The sequence below is a fragment of the Homo sapiens genome, chromosome 1 (assembly GCF_000001405.40).
Source record: "Homo sapiens chromosome 1, GRCh38.p14 Primary Assembly".
In the NCBI taxonomy this organism is placed as follows: Eukaryota; Metazoa; Chordata; class Mammalia; order Primates; family Hominidae; genus Homo; species Homo sapiens.
The window spans coordinates 3,001,311-3,022,903 of record NC_000001.11 but is presented as its reverse complement, the minus strand read 5'-3'; the positions used below and the strand labels follow the sequence as shown (position 1 = coordinate 3,022,903).

Sequence of the window (21,593 nt, the reverse complement as noted above, 5' to 3'; positions counted from 1 at the left end):
TTCCGGCATTGGTCCTTTATTGAACATCCTCCCAAAGCTGGGGCTAGGGTTCACCCCCCACGGTACCCAACGAGAAGCGGCCTTCAGAAGCATCTTCTCTGCACCACGGAGGTCCCAAACTCCTTGAAGTCTGCGGCGGTGACCCACATCTGCTTGAAGCTACTCAGAGAGGTGACGATGGAGGCTCCAATCCAGGTGGAGAACCACCGGTCGGGGGGAGCCGTGATCTTGATGGGGGTGTCCTTGGAGGCCAGCTGCTCCAGCTCCTTGAGAAGCCGGTCATCCAGCCCGTGGAACAGGGTAGTGCCCCCCGACAGCACAATCTCCCCAAAGAGGATCTTCTGGATGTCGGTATCACACTTGGTGATGCTGCTGGAGACCATATTCGAGAGCCCGGGGCTCTGGCTGCCCAGCTGCTGGGGCACGAACAGGGCCTCGGGCGCCTGGTGCAGCGGGTCCCCGAGGCTGATGATGTTCCCGTCGGGCAGCTTGTACTCCCTCAGGACCTCCTCCGGCCTCCGGGAAAGCTCCTTCTCGGGCTCCAAGGCCACGTAGCACAGCTTCTTTTTGATGTCGTCCACGAGACCCTTGTCCAGCTGGCAGGGGAAGGTGTGGCCGCTGGCCAGGAGCAGCTGCATGAGGAGCTCCGTGATGTCCCTGCCCGCCACGTGGAGCTTGGTGACTGCGTGGGGCAGGGAGTAACCCTCAAAGATGGGGACAGTGCAGGTGACCGCATCCCCGCTGTCCACCACCAGGCCCGTGACACAGGCAGAGGCGTAGAGAGCCAGCACCGCCTGGTCCGACAGGTAGAAAGCGGGCACGCCGAAGTTCTCGAACATGACTTCTGCCATCTTCTCACGGTTCTCCCTGGGGTTCAGGGAGGGCTCCGTTGCAAGCAGGGGCTGGTCGCTGGGTTTCACGCCTAGCTCCCACTCAAAGAGGTGCTTCCAGAGTCTCTCCACGTCATCCCACCCTGTGATCAGGCCACGCTCGAAAGGGGAGTGCAGCTGCAGGGCCTCCTGCTTGTACAGGGCCTCCTCCCCCACAAAGTACTTCTTCTGGTTGGCCTCTGCTGAGGGAGCCTGGAATTTCAGGTGCCCCACGATGGAGCTGACCATGTGCCGGGGTCCAAACTCCCCAGACAGGCCCGCTTTGCAGAACCCCGAGCCATTGTCAAAAATCACAGCCGGGGAGTCTAAAGCGTGCGGATTAAACATGCCCGCAGCCTTCCCTTCTCAGCCTCATCAAAATAAAGACCAGCCCTCCAGGGCCGCTTTGTGATGCAATAGGGGATCCCACAGCTCTTCCCACAGCTCTCGGGGTGTCTCAAGGCAGGGCTAGCACCGTGCCCGGGAGCCCTGCATCCTCAGCCGCAGGTCTGCTCTCCCTCCAGGTGGCCTGGGCCTGCTGAGGCCTCTTCCAGGGGGCCAGGGGGTTGTCTCCTAGGTAACAATCTAGCCAAGGCAACGATTGTCCTGAGCCTCAGAGGCCCTGGGGGTGGGGCTCTGAGTCCCCCATCCCCCACAGGGTGAGGTGAGAGAGAGAGAGAGAGACAAGTGCATCCTAGGGCGGTGCTGGACAAGCCTGTGGGCTGAGGCAGAGACTTAGCTTTAGAGTGGAGAGAAGCAGCCCAGCCTGCGTGCACCCTAGAAAACCAGCTTCTCTGGCCCCTGAGCTGCAACTTCTGGGGTGACAACACTTCCCTTTGCTAAGGGGGAAAACCAAGCACCAGGTCGGAGGGGTGTTGTAAGCAGTTCTGTCCCAGCAGGCACTTAGAATGTGCTTTTGAATAGTGATTCCCCCAGGAAGCTCTCAGGGATTTCTCCTCCCTCCATCCCATTAGTCCTGGCTGTCTGTCCCACTGGGTAGACCCTATTCAAAGCCCTCTGGGCTGCTGGCCCTTTGTCCAGGAATACATCTCTGCTCTGGCTTGAGGCCAGCACCCCTCATTCCTCTCTGCAGACTCTGAAGTGCCAGCACACAACAAAGTCCAGCAGCCATAGAGTTGGGAACCCAACAGCCCTGAAGATATGGCCTGCTGGTTTCACATGGGTAGCCTGGATTGCAGCCTGTGACACCTCTCTGTGTCTATGAGCTGCCACACAGTCAGGCCACAACCACAGAGCAATGCTCAGAGGTGACCAGGCCATTAAAGGTCAAGGCCTGAGCATGACCAGGAAGGAGGCACCGGGCCAGGCCAAGGGCACCCACAACAGTGCACGCCCGGCACTCAGACCCCCGCTTTGTCTTCCGCTTGGGGAGAAAGTGGGAGGGGATCCAACCTGGGAACCAGCTTCACTTTTTTCCTAAGGAGGTTGGAGGTGGCCTTGGAGAATGTGAGGTTTATTCTACCTCTCCTGTCATATCCACAATCATGCTCCAGCCCAGCTTGGCCCCCCAGAGTTCTCCCAGAGGACGCCTCCCGGGGTCACTCCCTTCCTGGAGCCCCTCAGCTCCTGCTGGTGGCCCCCTCTGTGTGTCCTGCCTGCCCTGCTGACCCACCAGCAGGCATTAATCCGATGGTGGTGTAGACACATGTTGTAGATGGGCAGTCTAGACACGTGGTACAGACATGTGGTGTAGACACGAGGTACAGACGCATATGGATGTGCCGTGTAGATGCATGGGATAGATGGGTGGTGTAGACACGCGCGGTACACTCGTTGTTGATGTGTGGTGTAGATGTGTCTTGTTGACACGTGGTTTTGTGGGCCCCACTAATCCCTGGGTGGTAGTCAACAAAAACTTGATTATTGAAGGATTTTCCTAGAGGGGACCCCCCCAGAGGGAAACTGAGTCAAAAGCGTGCCAGGGCAGGTGTGGCTCTTAAATCTCCATTTCTCTGGAAACTGTGGCAGCCACCACACAGCTTGCTTGCAGTCGTCTCAGAGACCCCGGGCTCCCTGAGGCAGTAGGTGTGGACGGAGGCACTGACCCATGGGCACGGCCTAGGGCCCTGAGGCCTCCTTCGAAACCTGTTGACCCAGACGCTGGAGCTCCTCCCTGCCCACATCAAGGTCACCCCGCAGGTCCTGCTGAAGGTCACCTGAGGCCTGTGCTGGGGGACACGGAGAGTGTCCCGGGGCAGGGGCAGGCACCATCCCGACCCTGCTCCTGTTCGATAGCAGGCACGGGCAGAGGGTGCCCCCCTTGAACGCCATCTTCCAGGGGCAGGCGCCATCCCAACCCCGCTCCTGTTCGATAGCGTGCACGGGCAAATGGTGCCCCCCTCGAAGGTCATCTTCCAGGCAGGTCCCAGGCTGCGAGGTGACTCATCCTCCAATGCCTTTCTGGCTGTCCCATGCAGCCACATTCACAACAGAAGGACCACCCTGCGCGGGAAGGGTTCCCTCCTCGCTGAACTAGGAGACCACAGGCGCCAGTCCTGGGAAATACAAGTGGGCCCATCCCTGCTGACCTGCACAACCTGGGGTCCTGGCAGAGGTGTGGCTGTCCACAAGGCTGGCCCTTTGAAGCCCTGGGACAGGATCTGGGAGGCTCTCTCCTGGCTCTGCAGAGGGGCAAGGTCCCTCTCAGTCACATGCCCTGCTGAGCACTGGCTCAACATCAGCCGATGCTACCAGAGATGGCCCCAGATGGGCACCAGGTTTACCCAGGAGGGCGAGAGAGTGCCGCTCAGGGATGGTACGTGCCCCCCCGGCTGAGCCCTCTCTGCCCACAGCCCCCGGCTAAGCCCTGTCTACCTTGTAGAGATGGCCTTGGCCTGGGAAGGGCCCGCAAGGCTGGGACGACTAAGCCTGCTGTGTTGTCTCCCAGACCCCGGCTCTGCACAGTCCAGGTCCACCACCAACCTGTGGGGATTGCTAAGGTTTCGAGTCTCACATTTTGGGGAGAGCATTCCCTGGCTGGCTGCTGCGCCTTGGGGTTCCAGCCTGCAGCCATCACAGAGGGTCTGCATCCTTGGTTCTCAGGTGTGGCTGGAAGTGCGTCAGTGTCGCCCAATACTCGGGGCTGAGCTGAGAGGAACGTGCTCCGATGCTTTCTAGATTTTGGCTCTGCCGGTGGCCACAGTGGGAGGCAGTGGCAATGCTGGTGCGGAGGGCTCTTGGGTCAGGCACACAGATGCTTTGAGGTGGCCCTGGGCGGGCTGGGGTCTTGGGCATTTGCAGGCAGGACAGAGGAGGAGGCAGACGCCGCTAAGCCTGGGCTGCTGAGCTCCCGGTGGGGTGTTGTGGGGCTTCTGAGGTTCCTCCATCCCCTGTTGCTGTCACAAGGCACAGTCACAGCACCCCGGGCACAGCCTCTTACCCTTGTGCATGTCCTGCAAAAACACACAGGCCCCCGCCCCCGCCCTCCCCGGCCCGGCTGCTTCCCCAGCCTCCACATTAGGTCTGGGACTTTCCACCTATTTTCAGCTCTTCTCGGTCCCTCCATGACCCCTGCCAGTCCCCGTTTTGGAGAAGACAAGGGCATACCCCCAAGTACACAACTGGGAAAGCCGGGGCACTGGCAGCACAGTGGCCCTGGGCCAGGTCCTTTTTTCCCTAAATGTTTTCACTGTCCCTGCTGAGCCTGGGAGAAGTGGTGCCCTTGGCCTTGGGTCTGGTGCCCTGACCCATCCTGGTAACTCAGGAGAGTCGTGGCCGAGATGCCACATGCCCGGCAGAGCAGGCCCTTCGAAGCCCACCACATTGCTGTTTGTCTATTTGGGAGAAGCAATTGGCAGGCAGGGTGGTCTTGCCCTAGTTACCATCGGGATGCCTGGACACCCGGGGCGACGCTGGCTCCGTCACCGTCGTATCTGGGTTTGCTGTTGGAGCCGAGAACCTCAGGGGCAAGGCCTGGCTCAGGGCCCTGCCGCTGGCTCGGTAGACGCTTCTGTCCTGGCTGCTCAGTGTCTCACTGGGCTGAAGAATTGTCTGCCATGTGGGCAGAGCCAGAAGAAGCAGGAAGGACCCTGAAGACCCTACCACCAAGGAGGCCTGGCCACTGTCTGGGGCTGGCACCACGTGGCCACTGAGAAGATCCAGTGGGTTTAAGAGCCACAGCCTATGTGACATTCTACTGGTTTCCAGCTGTCCCCAGGGCAGAAGTTCCTCCCTGTGGTTCTCGGTTCTCAGGTGCCTGGGAACCTCGGCCTCTTCCCATCAGCGGTGCGAGACACCGTGCTCACCATCCATGAGGAAACACCTTCGACCCTCTGACTACTTGTGTCTGCACCTCCTGGAGGTACCCGTGTGAGACCCACAGGGGTCCCTGTCACCTAGGGGATTTGATGTCCAACTGGACAGAAACCCCAGTAGCTGAGCGGTCTTGGAGCTCATGGGGAGCGCTGGTGGCGAAGGCTGTTATTAACACAAGGACGTTCTCCTTTCCCTGCTCCAATTAGAGGCCACGGTTCCGCCTTGGTCCACCCCCACCCGCGCTGAGCAAGCCTCATAAATCACTTGAACAAGTTTATGGGTGAGCTGGCTGCACCGCCAACCCCCTCCAGGGCAGGGCTCACCCTGAGATGATTCTGGGGTCATCATTTCGTCCTACACAGAAAGCCTCATTCTTCCTTCTGCTGGAGTAGTTGTGCCCAGCACAGCCGCCTCCCACTCCGCCAGCACCCCCCACCCACCTCCCATCCCCGGGGAGGGGCCCTGAGACTGCAGCTGGAGGTGGATGGACGTGGGTGTCCCCGGGAAGCTGTCAGGCATTTGAGCTTGGAGTGGGCAGCCCTGTATCTGCTGGGCACCCCCTGCCCCCACTAGCCTGGCTTAGGGTGCCCCGGTCACCGAAAACCTGGGCGAGGGGCCTCTCTGTCGGCCCCATTGTCCCTGGTTCCATCTGTCAGTGGTGGACAGAGCCTCAGCCAATTATTGACCAGTGGACTGGGCTCATCAGTGCCGGCCCTACATCTGGTGGCCAGATCCCTCTGGCTGAGGGTTCCACGCCAGTGTCAGTAGTGAAGGAACAGGGCGACTCTTGGATGGCAGGAGGTGCGCTGTCCTCAAAAGAGTGAGGAGGGTGTGGGGAGCACAGGGCCCACGAGCGGCCACAGGAGGATCCAGTACGGCTGCTCCTCCACCTCTCTGCCCGTCACCCCAGAAGGGCCCAAGCCCCAGCATTCTCCCCCGCAGCTCAGCGCTTGTGAGTCCCTAAGATGGAATCCGAGTCCCCTCCATCCACCTACCCACGCATCCACCCACCCAGTATCCATCTTTCCAGCCATACTTCATGTATCCAGCCTTCCTCCCTCCCCTGGCTCCCCTCTCTCCTTCCCTTCCTCTCTCCTTTCTCCCTCCCTCATTCCCTTCCTCTCCCCTCCCTCCCTCTTTCCCTTCCTCTCCCCTTCCTCCACCCCTCCCTCTTTCTCTTCCTCTCCCCTACTCCCTCATTCCCTTCCTCTCTCCTCCCTCCTTCCTTTCCTCTCTCCCCCCTCCTTCCCTTCCTCTCTCCTCCCTCTCTCCCTCTCTGACTTCCTCTCTCCTACTCCCTCATTCCCTTCCTCTCTCCTCCCTCCTTCCTTTCCTCTCTCCCCCCTCCTTCCCTTCCTCTCTCCTCCCTCTCTCCCTCTCTGCCTTCCTCTCTCCTCCCTCCCTCCCTCCTTCCTTTCCTGTCTCCTCCCTCCCTCTCTTCTTTCCTTCTGTGGTGCCCAGAGCAGTGGCCAGCAGGGGTGGTCTCAGGAGAGTGGCGGCTCCAGCCTCCCTGGCCAGGGGATGAGCCCCACCTAGGCACACAATGGCTGCAGAGGTGGCCTCTCACCTGGGACAGGTGTGGCAGGAACCTGAGATGGAGGTTTGGGAATATTGGGTTCTGGATGCTAAAAAGACAAGGGCCCTCCCTGCAGCAGCTTCCAGGGCTCTGTGACTTGCTCCCCGACTGCAGGCTGGGCTAGAAAATGCAGACCCCAGGACTGCCTCCCTTGTGGGGTGTCAAGTAGGTGCCACCCATGAGGGTGGGCTAAGCCCTGGGGCCCAAGACCACACCTCAGTGGCATTATCCACATGCAGCCAGATGCTGGTGGACTGCTCTGCATGGTGCCCAGAGATGGGCTGCTGCCATTGAGGGCATCCTCACAAAATCACACAGCCTGGGGACTTCGGCAGCAGCCGCTGACCTCTCACGGTTCTGAGCCTGGGAGTCTGAGATCAGGCCCAACACCGGGGGGTCTGTGAGGGTCATCTCTGACTGTGTCCTCAGTGGCAGAGAGGGAAGGGGCTCTGGTCTCATTCTCTTCTCACAAGGACCCTAATCACCTCCCAAAGGCCCCATCTCCTGACCCCACCACACTGGGTGTTAAACGGCTTCACAGAGGACAGCAGGGGAACATTCAGTCCACATGGGACTGGCCCTCTTCAGCTCTCCGTGCAGAGGCCTGGAGTGAGGCTCATGGGCAAGGTGGCCGAGGCTCGAGTGCCAGTGCAGCCCCAAGGCGCTCACGAGCGTGCACATCCTCAGGTGAGCTCTGCTCAGTCATCAGCATTATGAGTACTGTTGTTATTTTCCAATGCAGGGGCTCGGCGCTTCCCCTGGCCAGGACTCAGTGCCTCGCTGCAGGGCCGGGGGAGCATCCAACCCTGGAGTAGGGGAGGAGGAGAGTGAGCCCAGACACTGCCAAGCTACCAGGCACCTCTGCCCTGGAGGAACACAGGCAGGAGGGTGGTGGGAGGACCAGGCTGCAGGGACACTAAGTCTGGAGGCTGGGCAGTGCCTTTGCTCGCCTGCCAGGGACAGGGTGGCATCAGCGCACAGGGCAGCCTCACTCCTCTGGACTTGGAAATATTTTGCTCTGTGCACACATGTGCTGGGGGGTGTGGGAGCCAGGCCCCTCCTGTGTCCCGTCCATAGCAGGTGAAGCTGGAGCAGGCTTGAGGCTGGCCGGGCAAGGCCACAGGCATACGGGGGCTGAGGGATGAGAACAGCCTCTGCCCATGCCCATCTCCCTCCGGAGAGCACTGCTCGCATTTGTATTGACTTTCAAGGGGAACTGGGCTTTGACCTGGAGCATTGGCGCTGAGCACCGTGTGAGGTGCCGGGAAGCCCCCTCCCGGCCCCGCTTGCTGCTCCAGTGTCACTGCGGTTACCCTGGGTCAGGCGCATCCCCCACGTGTCCCTGCCCCTCCTCCTCCGAGCGAGTGTGTGGAGTGCAGTGCTGCTCTTCTGAACAGCTGCTCAGTGACCTGTTGTCTGCGTTGCCCACTTTATTAGACCAACCCCTATTGAGGTATTTCCATTTAATAATTGTTCAATTATTGAGGTTTTTCTGTTTTTTCTTTTTTCTGTTACAAGCGAAGCGCCGTCAATCGCATTGCGCGCCCACCTGCATATGCTTGCCGTGTACTTTGGGGCTGCACCTGAACTCAGGGCTGGTCCATCCAGGGGTGCACGTGCTCACAACATGGACAGAAACTGGCAGAAAAATGTTCCCAGCTTCCTCCTTCCCCTTCCCAGGGTCCAACACCCCATATGTGAAGAACCATGGGACAATTCCTCAAAGGGTCACTTTCCTCCCAAGGTCTTCTAAAATCTCCACACGAAAACTCAAGGGCTAATGGAGGGGTGGATTCTGGCAGCCGATGCACCCATGTCCTGGGGCTGCCGGAAGCACGTGCTGCAAACTCAGCAGTGGAAACAACAGAAATTCATCCTCCCGCAGTTCTGGAGACCGGAAGTCCAACATCAGGGTGTGGATGGGGCCGCCAGCCTCTGAGGGCACTGGGCAGGTCCCTGCTCCAGGCCCGGCTCCTGGTGTCTGGGGCTCCTGGGCTGTGGTGGCATCGCTCTAGTCGGCCCTGTCTATGCCTCTGCATCTGGGTTCTCCTTCTCCCAAGGACACCAGTCCTTTTGGGTTAGGGCCCACCTCAATGACCTCATCTTGCCTTGATCATCTGCAAACACCCTATTTGGTCCTATTCCCAGGTACTGGGGGCTAGGACATGAATATGTGCATTTTAGAGGGGGCCGGAGTTCAGCAGGTGCTGCCTGCCCGCTGGGAACCGGCTGTGTTTGTGCGCAGCAAGCAGCGGCACTCCCCGCCTTGGGGATCCAGGTGACAGCGTAGCACCCAGTGAGAGGCGGGAGCCTGGTGGGCATTTCAGGAGAGGCTGCTGCATGTGGAGCAGAGAAGGAGGGGCCATGGCCCTCTCCAGCCACATTGGGAGTTACTCTCCAGGCCTCTCCGGCCAGGTAGGGAGTTATTCCACGCTTCAGCAGCTTAAGACAAGTGTTTCTCATCTCATGTTTCTGAGGGCCAGGAATCTGGGTACAGCTTGTGTGGGTGCCTTTGAGTCTCAGGTCCTGATGAGGCTGCAGCTAAGCTGTGGGCAGGGCCTGCCGTCTCATCTGAAGATTCAATGGGGAGTGAGAGGGGAGTTTGGCCTCCAAGCTCTCATCTAGCCATTGTCCGGCCTTGGTGTCTTGCCACATCGGCCTCTCCAGGTAGCTTCATACATGGCATCGGCTTCCCTTGGGGGGACTAGACCGAGAGAGAGACAGAGACAGAGAGAGAGACACAAACAGAGAGAGGAGGAGGGGGTGAGAGACAGAGACAGAGAGAGACACAGAGACAGAGGAGAAGGGAGAGAGAGACAGAGACAGCAAAAGAGACAGAGACAGAGAGACAGAAAGGAAGAGGGAAACAGAAAGCTAGAGCAAAAGGTGGGGAGAGAGACAGAAGGAGGAGGCGGCCAGCCAACGCAGAGGCCAGGGCCTCGCCAGAACCCTCTCTGGGAAGCAGCGTCACCCGTGCTGCTCTCCACCCATCAGAAGCACGCTGGTCAGCCCAGCTGAGGGGCAGAAGTCACCCAAACGAGATGGCACATCGAGGGCCGTCTTGGAGCTCCCCTGGACAGGGCATAGGCCAGGTCCCCAGGACTGAGGTGCAGAGTCACCCCGTGGGAGCTCCCACCCAATTCCAGCCACTCCGGCCCAGTTTCCTCGGCTGTCAGCAGGGACAGTGCTGTCAGCCAGTGTCCAGGCAGGGCTGGGGACTGAGCCCTCCACGCACGGCCTTTTGGGGAGTGTGGCCCTGGTGGCACGGGACAGGTGGCAGGGGCACCCGGCAGGGCTCCTGAGAGATTGAGCGGGGGGCGCTCTCCCTGCTTCAAACCACGATTTCCACCCAGTTCCTCATTCTTCAGCATCGCAGGTCCTGATGTGCGACGTCCGGAAGGAACTGGGTCTTTCTCTGCCCCCGCCTCCGGGGAGAAGCCCGGCTTCCCTGTCCCAGGAGCCCAGACCCAGGCGGGTCCCGCGGGAGCGCCGCGTGGGGCCCTCAAAAGAGAGGCTTTCTCGCCCCCTGCCGGCGCGTGGTGGGACTGCCACGGGCCTGGGGAGGCGGCGGGGTGGGGGCGGTGGGGATGCGGGGACAAAGCTGGCTTGTTAATTTCACAGAGAGGCAGGACCATGGAGGAGGGAATAAAAGTCAATGTTTGCTAAATAAGGGGGAAGAATCGCCCCGCCTCGGTGGGGAAAAGGTTTGCTTTCAAGTATATCAAAGCGATTACCCGGAGGAAGGCCAGGCAGAATGAGTGTGTGTGCAGGGGGCCAGCGCTCGTTTTCCCAGCGCTCCCAGCGCGGCCTGCAAATGCGCTCCCCCCGACTGGACACAGCCGAGCTTTTGGTTTTAAATAGTTTATAACATTTCAGATGCAGCTTCTAAGTCAGCAGTCCCAGGAGACGCCGAACAGACTTCTACACTTAGCCAGTGATAAATAACCGGGAGAACACAGGGCCCGGAAGGATCCAGATTTAATTCAAAGAATTTAAAATCGAACGTTGAAAGAGCGCTTTGCATTCATGAGGCGTGCTCACTTCCAGCTGGAGAAAGAAAAGGCCTTGTGTTCGGGGGAGAGGCAGGAGAGCTAACCTTTCTGCCATGTGCCTGCCGCTTCCAGCCGGCTCGCCGACATTTTTCATCTGCAAATGGCAGGCGTCGTTTCTGGAAGCCGACACGAGGAGAGATTTATCATCTCTGCGGAGTTTCGGCTCCAGGTGGAAGGATTTGCCTCCACGGCGAGGTTGCCGCCTAGCCAGCCCGGACGGGGAGGGAAGGTCCTGCCCCTTCTCTGTGGACACCTCTCTGGTTTCCAGATGGAAGTGCTCCCAGCAGAAGCCGTTGCCCGCTGCAGGCCCTGGGCTGTGTCCTGGATGACCGTGCACGTGCTGCCGGCCCGGGGCCGCCTGGCCTCTGTCACGGGTGGGGCACATCAGGGGCTGGATGGCCGGCCCAACACGCCCCACACAGCCAAGGCCATCTGAGGAGGGGGCTCCCGGCCGAACTGCCCCCTTCCCGCCTGCTGCTCCCCCTCATTCCAGAAATCAGGACCCTGGTTGGGCCCCAAAATACTGGAATTGCGGCTCCTTCGGGCCTGCGAATCCACGTTCAGTTTTGAAGGATCTGCGCACCTGGGTGTACCAGGTTGAACAATGTCCACCCAGAACCTTAGGAATTACTTTATCTGGAAATAGGGTCTTTGCAGATGTAACAAGGTAGGTTGGAATGTGGCCATACCGGATTACGGTGGGCCCCACACCCAACGACTTCTGTCCCAGAAGAGACACACGGAGAGAATGCCACGTGACAAGGAGGCAGAGATGGCAGTGAGGTGCGGGCAAGCCCAGGAACTCCAGGGATGGCTGGCCACAAGCGGGGAGGAGGCAAGGACCGATTCTGCCCAGAGTCTCAGAGGGAGCAGGGCCCTGACCACACCTCAGTTTGGGACGTCTGGTTTCCAGACCATGAGAGCATAGTGACACAGAAAGCCCATCCGTGTCAGGCTAGCATTTTCCAGATCCTGTTTTAAACAGCCACAGAAAATGAATGAAGTATGTTCATCAGAGCCACAGATCGATTGTCAGAACTTTTCTTAGGCTGTGAAGCTTCAACATGTTCCACCTCTCTGCTGTATCCCTACTTGACATGGTTTGGCTGTGTCCCCACCCAAATCTCATTTTGAATTGTAGTTCCCATAATTCCCTCATGTCATGGGAGGGACCTGGTGGAAGGTAATTGAATCATGGGGGTGGGTCTTTCCTGTGCTGTTCTCGTGATAGTGAATAAGTCTCAAGAGATCTGAAGGTTTTATAAAGGGGAGTTCCCCTGAGCACACTCTCTCTTGCCTGCCACCATGTAAGACATGGCTTTCTCCTCTTTTGCCTTCTGCCAAGATTGTGAGGCTTCCCCAGCCATGTGGAACTGTGAGTCCATTAAACCTCCTTTTCTTTTCTTTCTTTTTTTTTTTGAAAGAGTCTCTCTCTGTTGCCCAGGCTGAGGTGCAGTGGCATGATCTCAGCTCCCTGCAGCCTCCACCTCCTGGGTTCAAGCGATTCTCCTGCCTCAGCCTCCTGAGTGGCTGGGATTACAGGCATGTGCCACCAAGCCCAGCTAATTTTTGTGGTTTTTTTTTTGAGACAGAGTCTTGCTCTCTCGCCCAGGCTGGAGTGCAGTGGCGCAATCTCGGCTCACTGCAAGCTCCGCCTCCCGGGTTCACGCCATTCTCCTGCCTCAGCCTCCCAAGTAGCTGGGACTACAGGTGCCCGCCACTATGCCCAGCTAATTTTTTGTATTTTTAGTAGAGACAGGGTTTCACTGTGTTAGCCAGGATGGTCTCGATCTCCTGACCTTGTGATCCTCCTGCCTCGGCCTCCCAAAGTGCTGGGATTACAGGCATGAGCCACCGTGCCCAGCCCTTAATTTTTGTGTTTTTAGTAGAGATGGGGTTTCACCATGTTGGCCAGGCTGGTCTTGAACTCCTGGGCTCAGGTGATCTGCCCGCCTCTGCCTCCCAAAGTGCTGGGATTACAGGCGTGAGCCACCGTGCCCAGCCCCTTTTCTTTATAAATCACCCAGTCTCAGGTATGTCTTTAATAGCAGCATGAAAACAGACAAATGCACTACCTTTCCACAGTTCTGCTCTGAGGTGGCCCTTGGGTGCTCTGAGCCCCACAGATCCCCTTCTTCAACCAGCTTTCCCTGTGACCTCCCACTGTCCACTGTCCACAGAGAGAAAACCACACTTGCCAACTCACCTTTTAGAAATTATCCACTTTCCCTCTTGCTGGCTGTTATTCTTTTTAAGAGGACCTGCAGGGCATCTGAGTGGAAGATACCACAAAGGCAACTGCTAGTCTCAGACTTCACTCCCAGCTTGAATGATGGAGGCCTTGGAGAGTCTCTGGGGAGAAGTGGAGGCTGGGGGTTTGGGGGCACTGGGCAGCTGAGAAGGTGGGCTCCCCACATAAGTAGATCTCAGCCTCACATTGCAGCTCATTATCTCTCCCCCAGAGACATCTCAGTGGAAAGCCCATCCATGTCAGGCTTGTATTTTCAGGTTCTGGGTACCCGGCAACCGATTTAAGATTTTAGGAGGTGGGGATAAGATTTCTCTAGAAACAAACCCATCATTTGCCTTATCAAGTGGCAGAAGGAGACATTTCAGGCTCCCCACCCAGCTTCTGAGGATCTGCCATTTCCAGGGACCATGCTTCCACCTCTAGAGGGGGAGGCAGCTCCAGCAGGGCCACATGTGGGGACTCTGTGACAGATGAGGTGGCCATTCTGTTGGAGGGGATGGAAGGACACTGTTCCGAGGAAGAGCCACATGTGAGCCAAGCTGAGCCACTCCAAGGAGCCGGCATTGCCTGTTGGAGCTTTGCATCATCCCCTAACTTTTTGCCCAGGGGCGCCATGCTCTGGGCCTCCTATGTGAGCAGTCAATAATTACCTTTCTCTTGAGGGATTCTGCCAATAACAGCTGTGGAGCAGCTGGTCCAGCTCCGTCATCCCACAGGAGGTGGGCATGGAAGGCTGGGCCAGGACATACCTCCTCCTTCTGAGTCTGCACACTCGGCTCCACGCAGTCACTCAGAGTCCAGGGGATGGGTACCATTGTGTTGTCCATGAGACAGATGTGGGAGGATCCTGCCTCTGCTTAAGTGACACATGTCACTTCTGCTCACACCTCATCAGGACGAGTCACATGGCCAAACCCACCTGTGTAGAAACCAGGAAGTGTGGGCGAGCAGAGAGCCAGCCTGGTGCACAGTCCTGAGCCTGCCCCACATGGGCTTGCCTGATTCCGTGGGACATGTCTATATAGCATATTTCTCCTTGTTCATCTGAAATTCAAATTTAACTGGGTGTCTTAGGCCATTCTTGCATTGCTATAAAGAAATACTCAAGACTGGGTAATTTATAAAGAAAAGAGGTTTAACTCATTCATGGCTCTGCAGACTTTACAGGAAGCATGGTGCTGGCATCTTCTCAGTTTCTGGGAAGACCTCAGGAAGCTTACAATCATGGCAGAGGGCAAAGGGGGAGCAGGCATGGCACATGGTGAAAGCAGGAGAAAGTGAGGGGCTGGAGGGGTGCCACACACTCTGAAATGACCAGATCTCATGTGAACTCAAAGCAAGAGCTCACTCATCACCAAAGGGATGGTCCAAGGCATTCATGAGGGATCCTCCTCCATGACCCAATCACCACCCATCAGGCCCCACCTCCAAGACTGGGGATTACATTTCAACATGAGATTTGGGTGGGGCCTTAAATTTAAACTATGTAAGTCCACCCCTGACCCCTCCACAATCTCATGCCCTTCTCACATTGCAAAATATAATCATGCCTTACAAACAGTCCCCCAAAGTCTTGACTCTAATTTCCGGTGTTAACTGAAAAGTTCAAGTCCCAAGTCCAAACTCTTATCTAGAGATGTTTTTTCCTTCTACCTATTAGTGTGTAAAATCAAAACAAGGTATTTACTTCCAGAATACAATAGAGGCAGAGGAACTGGATAAATGTTCCTATTCCAAAAAGGAGAAAAACTGACCAAAAGAAAGGGATTACAGTCCCCGTGAAAGTTGAAACCCAGAAGGGCAGTCATTAAATCTTAATACTACAAAATAATCTCCTTTGACTCCATGTCCCACATTGAGGACACACTGTGCAAGGGGTGGGCTCTTAAGGCCCTGGGGAGCTCCACCCCTGTGGCTTTGCAAGGTACAACCCCCACAGCTGCTTGCACAGGTCGTTGAGTGTCTGTGGCTTTTCTAGGTGTAGGAGGCAAGCTGTCAGTGGCTCTACCACTCTAGGGTCTGGAAGAGGATGGTTCCCTTCTCACAGCTCCACTAAGTACTGCCCCATTAGAGACTCTGTGTGGCAGCTCCAACCCCAGATTTCCCCTTAGCACTGCCCTAGTAGACGTTCTCTGTGAGGGCTCCACCCCTGCAGCAGGCTTCTGCATGGACATCCAGGCTTTTCCATACATCCTCTGAAATCTAGGCTTCCAAGCCTCAACTCTTGCACTCTGTGCACCTGCAGGCTTAACACCATGTGGAAGGCTTATGGCTTGCACCCTCTGGAGCTGCAGCCTGAGCTATACCTGGGCCCCTTTGAGCCCAGGCTGTACCCAGAGCTGCCAAGATGCAGAAAGCAGTGTCCTGAGGCTGCACAGGGTAGCGGGGCCCTGGGCCTGACCCACAAAATCATTTAGTCCTCATAGGCCTCAGGGCCTGTGATGGGAGTAGAGACCAGGAAGATCTCTGAAATGCCCTCAAGGCCTTTCTCCCATTGTCTTGGATATTAGCACTTGGCTCCTTTTTATTCATGCAAATTTCCCTAGCAAGTGGTTGCTCTGCAGCCTACTTGAATTCTTCTGTTGAAAAAGCTTTTTTTTTTTTTTTTTTGGTTTTTTTATTTGCCACATGGTCAGGCTGAAAATTTTCCAAATTTTTATGCTCTGTTTACCTTTTAAATATAAGTCCCATCTTTAAGTTACTCCTTTGCTTCTGCATCTGAGCATAGGCTGATAGAAGTAGCCAGGCTACATCTCAAGCATTTTACTGCTTAGAAATTTATCCTGCCAGATCCACTAAATCATTACTATGAAGTTCAAACTTCTACAGATCCCTAGGGCAGAACAGAAGGCAGCAACCAAGCTCTTAGCTAAGACATAACGTGTAATCTTTGCTCCATTTCCCAATACGTTTCTCATTTCCATCTGAGACCTTAGCAGCCTAGACTTCAGTGCTCATACTGCTATCAGCATTGTGGTCACAACCATTTTACCAGTCTCTAAGAAGTTCCAAACTTTCTTTCATCTTCCTGTCTTCTTCTGAGCCCTCAAAACTCTTTCAACTTGTCCCCATTACTCAGTTCCAAAGTTGCTTCCACATTTTCTGGTATCTTTATAGCAATACCCAACTCCTGGCACCAATTTTCTATATTAGGCAGGTTTTGCATTGCTATAAAGAAATACCTGAGACCAGATAATTTCTAAAGAAAAGAGGTTTAATTGGCTCATGGTTCTGCAGGATTTACAGGAAGCCTGATGCTGGCATCTGCTTGGCTTCTAAGGAGGCCTCAGGAAGCTTACAGTCATGGTGGAAGGTAAAGGGGGAGTAGGCATGTCACATGACCAGAGCAGGAGCAAGAGACAGAGTATTATGGGGAGAGGTGCCACATGCTCTTAAACAACCAGATCTCATGTGAACTCAGAACAAGAGCTCATTCATCACCCAGGGGATGGCCCAGGCTATTATTGAAAGATCCACCCGGATGATCTAAACACCTCCCACCAGGCCCCACCTCTAAGATTGAGGATTACATTTCAACATGAGATTTGGGCAGGGACATGCATTCAAACTATATCACTGGGCAGCCAGTATTGCTCAGCTTGTCCACCCTACCTATGTGGCCAGACTTCCACTGGTAAATTGCTATCTCTTAAGTATACAGTGATTGGTATGCACAGAGTTGGAGTTTTCCAAATATGGGCCTTTAAATACAGAGAAACATTTGATCAAACTAATCCGAATGGAGTTGTGGCTGCCCCTACCTGCCCAGGGTTGAAGGAAATACTCAAGGAAGTGCTTGGGGAGATGCTGGCTGAGCTGCCCTGCGGGGGTTGTGCTCCACCCCTCTCTGCATCCTTGCCAAAGACAGACAGGGCGCCTTCCAAAAGGGAATTCAACCTAAAAATGGAGGCTGACTCCTTCTCTCACTCCCCTCCCCTGCCCTGCCTGCCCAGACTCCCAAGAGACGGCCGACTGGAAAACGTGTTGGCAGAACCTGGAAACATCCACATTTTACTGTGATTCTCAGGAGAGCCTGGAGGTAGAAATTACTCAGGCACGAGCTTTATCACCCAGTTCCCAAGGTATCAGCGAGATCATTTAGCCAGAAGAGCCCAGCGCAGGGGGAAGGAAGGTGCAGGCCCTGGAGCAGGGGTCTGCCATGCTGTGGGGAGAGCAGTGGTTCTCATTTGCTCAGCAAAACAGGAGATGAAGCACAAAATCCCCTTCCCTGGCTGTTTCCTCCAGTGGCTGAATCTTTGAGGATGCTGCTTAAATGATTTAGTATGGATGAGGCCAAGGTCCCCACCTTGTCCCAGGTGCCCCTGCACCCTCATAGCTCCCTCCCCACCCGCTCTTCCATCCTCCATCCCAGGTTTGAGCTACCATCCCACCACTGGACACCATACCTGGTGTGTCTGAGTCTCTGTGCAGGCTCTGAGATGCTGGGGATGAGGTCAGGACACCCTTCACATCATTGGCTTGCAGTCGAGAGCAGGGGCCGGGGGTGGGGTGAGGCAGGTGTCAGCAAATTCAAAACAAGACAGTGCTGAAGTGGGATATGCCCCATGAAGAAAATGAAAAGATCGGGAGACAGACTGAGCTGAGGGCGAGTTAAACGGGGTGGGCAGGTGGAGGATGCCATGGGAGACCAGGAAGCAGCGCATTCCTGCACAGGGAGGGAACACCCAGGCAAAGCCTTGTGGAGGAGCGCTGTCAGCCCTTCCTGGTTCTAGGCTCATCCCAAGCCCTGGCTCTATGTTTCTCAACCAGCCTTGACCTGGTACATGAGAGAGGTTCCTGCTGGGGAAGTGCCACGCAACCCCAGCTGGAGGCAGCCCTGCTCGGTGGGGGGCCCCACACTTTCTGCACAGGTGCCTTGGTGCCAGTCCCTTCCCCTGGTGCCTGTGGATGCAGCCACAGCTGGGGTCCTCGCCCCCAGAATGTGGGAGGCTCCAGAGAAAAGCCTCAGTCCCAGGGGATCTGTCTGTGCCTGCCAATCAGCTCTGTCAAGAGGTCCCTGAGCCCTGGCTTGGGCTCAGTCTGGTGGGCAGGAGCAGGGCTTGTGAGCCTTTGGGGACCTCTCCCCACAGCCTGAGAGCCAGGCTGAGCCGGAGCGGGCACAGGGCACGTCCCAACATGAAATCGCTTCTGTGGACTCCTGCCTCCCAGGGCCCACAACAGCCCTGGCAGTATGACGGTGACTGCATGGCTTTCTGTGTGTGGAATTCACTGCGGTGACCGGTTTCACCTGCTACAAGAATGGTAACCAAGGCTGCAGTGGCACCGGTGCATGGGACATCCTGGCACGTGGTGTCCCCAGCTCCACAGGGCGAGTCCTGGGGTGAGACTTCCAGGTTAGACACCCCCTCAGGCACCTTCATGTGGCCAACTGGCTGCACTGCTCGGCACTCTGTGTTCCCTGGTGATGCACAGGGCTCAACCTGCAAGGGGCTGCCACTCACTGCTAACAGCCTCCTGCATCCTTCGAGTTTTTGGAAGCGGCTCTAATTCCCACCATTCCCCACAGCCTTTTCTACTGTTTTCACTTTGCTCTCTGGGCCGGGCAGGCCTGAGGGCAATTTCGATGGCCTCCACGTGGCCGTTCCTGCTAAAATAGATCACCCTCTGCCAGCTGAGGGACCAGGGTGAGGGTTTTGCCAGTTCTTGAGTTTGTCCATTCCAGTTCAGGAACAGGGTGCAGGACCCCCCGCTCAAGCCCTGTCACAGCACTATCTAAGTCACCAGCGTGGCCCCTGGGATGCTGGAGGAGCTGTGGTCATGGTGAGCCGGCCACAGTCACAGCTGAGAAACAGCACAGCTGCAGCCGAGGCCAGAGGGAGCGTCGCACTCGAGCACACACACAGCCTTGGCTACAAGCTTTGTGGCGGCCCATCTGCAAGCAGATCCTTTTCCACGTCTGTCCCACGGTGAGGCTCAGAAGGCATCCACATGCACGTGGCTTGGCCCCCGTGAGCACCCCCGGCCTCACCCCGGGGCTGTGTGGATCCTCCCGTTTTGACAATAATGAGAAGGAAGGGAGGCATTGGAACCACCTGGACATGGCCCAGACCCCGACGGCAGCCCCATACACTGGAGCCAGCATGCAGTTGGAGCTGGGGACCTGGAGGGGGCTCAGGGTGGGGGACATGCCCCCTCCAGAGGTGGCTGTTGTGGACTGGATTCCTGCCACTGAGAAAGAATCACGACATCCCGAGGCCCCTGCAGCTGTGGAGGCAGCACGGCCTGTGCTTGGCACCCTGATCCAGCCGTTCGTCAGGTGCAACCCGGCAGTTCCTCTTCCGCAGGCCCAGGCCCCAGCGGGCTCTGCAACTGGACCAGGCTGTGTATAAGCAGCTCTGCCTCTTAGGCCCTACAGCCTGGGAGACCCCATGTGGTGGAGCACGATGCCCCCCAAGACAGCAGCCGTGCAGACCCCGGAGCTGGGGAGCAAGCCTCTGTTATTGCTCTCTGCAGGAGAGAACGGACCATTTTCCAGAACAGTCCCCAACGAGCTACTGCACCTCAGCAGGCAGGGAGCCTCTGGCCAGGGGACACCAGCTGACCATGGAGCCAGTCTCACCCAGCGAGAGCTGTGCACCGCCAGGCCCGAGTGACAAGGCTGGACGATGCAGTGGCCATCCACCCTCGCCGACGGGGTCGTCTGTGACCAGGCCCAGGCAGGTCCAGGGGGCATGAGGAGGCTCCACAAACAGGAAACCCACCTCCATGTCCTCTGCCACCACGCACCAACGTCTCTCCCCCAACTCACACCCCTGGCTTCGTCGGGGGTCTTTCTGACCAGTGGGTAAAAGAGGAAGAAGCAGTCTTGACTTTCAGATGCTCGGCTCAGCTCTCAGGGCAAGCCAGAAAGGGGCTGCTGCTGTGTGACTGCCCCGCAGAGGCCAACCTGAAAGCCAGTGTCAGGGGACATCCTCTGGGTGGGCGGAGGTCTGGGCCGTGCACCTGGACATCCCCTGTCAGTGGGGAGAAGTGGCCCGGGGTAAGGATGGACGCAGAGTCAGCCCAGTGGTGAATGCCTCAGCGTGAGGTTTGGAGGACGGGGAGGTCTCTGTGTCCCACATCCCCAAGCGCCAGGGAGCATTGTGTGGAAGAGGCCCAGGATGACCGTGTGGGCAGGGCAACTCTGCCAGGTGTCAGGCAGCCTCTGTCCGGGGCCACTGCAGGGTTGGGGCGATGCACTTGTGGTGGAAGTAGGCGTGGTAACAGGGTCTGAAGCCATGTGTCCTCTCAATGGCACAGGCTTCTCATCGAGGCTATTGTGATCACTGTCACCGCTGTATCAGAAACTGACCGCAGCTCAAGTCCTGACATCGTCCCTCAAAGACACCAACCAGCCCTTTGGTGGCAAGCCGGTTACAAAGAACCACTCCACGCTGGAGAGGACAGGGGCCCGTCGGGACTGGGATCGGTGCCTGTGCCAGGTGAGGGTTTGCTTTTCCTCATGCACCACAGCCAAGAGCCCAGATTCACTAACAGAGGGTCCCCGGCCACATGGCTGCAGACCACAGGACCCCTCGGTGTCAGAGGAAGGAGCTGGGGCACACAGTCCATGGATCTCCTGGACCCACCATGGACCTCCCTCCAGAAATGGCTGAGCCAACAGGGACGGAGTATCCTCCCAAAAGCAGCCCAGACTTGGCTCAGAGATGACGTCTGAGAATGTGGGCATCCGAGAATGTGGGTGTCCGAGAATGTGGACGTCCAAGAGTGTGGGCGCCCGAGAGTGTGGGCGCCCGAGAGTGTGGGCATCCAAGAGTGTGGACGTCCAAGAGTGTGGGCGCCCGAGAGTGTGGGTGCCCGAGAGTGTGGGCGCCCGAGAGTGTGGGCGTCCGAGAGTGTGGGCGTCCGAGAATGTGGGCGCCCCCGAGAATGTGGGCGTCCGAGAATGTGGGCGTCCGAGAATGTGGACGTCCGAGAAGGTGGGCGCTGTCCTTTAGTTTGCAGGCTATTTCTTGAGCCAGTGACGATGACACGGTGCCGTGTCCATGACAGGCAGAATGCATGGATCTGGGAGCTACGGAGTGGACACATAGGGGGTCCCCTCGTCGTCGTTCCACGTGGCTTACTGTGGGAACATGGGTTTGCCGCCCTCACCCTGTGACTCTGTGGCTGCCAGAAGGGTACATTTCCACCGGGGTCGCAGAACTAGTTCCCCTGGATTGAGAAGGCAGCACCATCTGGTCACTGTTGCCTCGTTCGTGCCAGGCACAGAGAGTCCTGGCAGGGGTCGCTGGCCCCGATCCTGAGGGGTGGGGGTGGGGCCAGGGCTGCTGCTCCAGGACAGGGTGGGGACACGCCTGGCATCCATGTGACCCACGGGACACCTCTTGCTGCCCCAGTGCCCAGCAAGTCCACTAACCACTGCCTTGTTACAGCATGGCAGCCGGGGCTCAGACTCCTGGTGGATCCCTCGCCAGCCAGGCCTGCTGGACCAGGCGGAGGCAGCCTAGAGTGCCCAGCAGGTCAAGGGGTGGGTGAGGGTCAGTTACGGCCTGGAGACCACAGCGGGACCGGAGTTCACACGCCAGCCCCCTGCTTGTGAGCTTCCC

General features: G+C 57.3%; 1 protein-coding gene across 1 annotated transcript, besides 3 other annotated features; it reads right to left on the bottom strand.

Moving 5' to 3' along the window:
- ACTRT2 (actin related protein T2) lies at nucleotides 1-1,437 on the bottom strand. The gene has a single exon (NM_080431.5). It carries the CDS (start codon nucleotides 1,215-1,217, stop codon nucleotides 84-86), a length of 1,134 nt encoding a protein of 377 aa, NP_536356.3. The 5' UTR covers nucleotides 1,218-1,437; the 3' UTR covers nucleotides 1-83.
- Nucleotides 6,824-6,993: an enhancer, noted in NCBI's record as "experimental_6546 CRE fragment used in MPRA reporter constructs". NCBI's record gives its function as "activates a minimal promoter by MPRAs in K562 erythroleukemia cells, with activity observed for both the introgressed and non-introgressed 1:2932560 variant alleles {active_cell/tissue: K562}" and the evidence as "EXISTENCE:reporter gene assay evidence [ECO:0000049][PMID:34662402]".
- Nucleotides 7,356-8,119: an enhancer, noted in NCBI's record as "H3K4me1 hESC enhancer chr1:2931349-2932112 (GRCh37/hg19 assembly coordinates)". NCBI's record gives its function as "activates a minimal SCP1, AML or CMV promoter by ChIP-STARR-seq in primed H9 embryonic stem cells {active_cell/tissue: H9 hESC(primed)}" and the evidence as "EXISTENCE:reporter gene assay evidence [ECO:0000049][PMID:30033119]".
- Nucleotides 21,155-21,324: an enhancer, noted in NCBI's record as "experimental_6521 CRE fragment used in MPRA reporter constructs". NCBI's record gives its function as "activates a minimal promoter by MPRAs in K562 erythroleukemia cells, with activity observed for the non-introgressed 1:2918229 variant allele {active_cell/tissue: K562}" and the evidence as "EXISTENCE:reporter gene assay evidence [ECO:0000049][PMID:34662402]".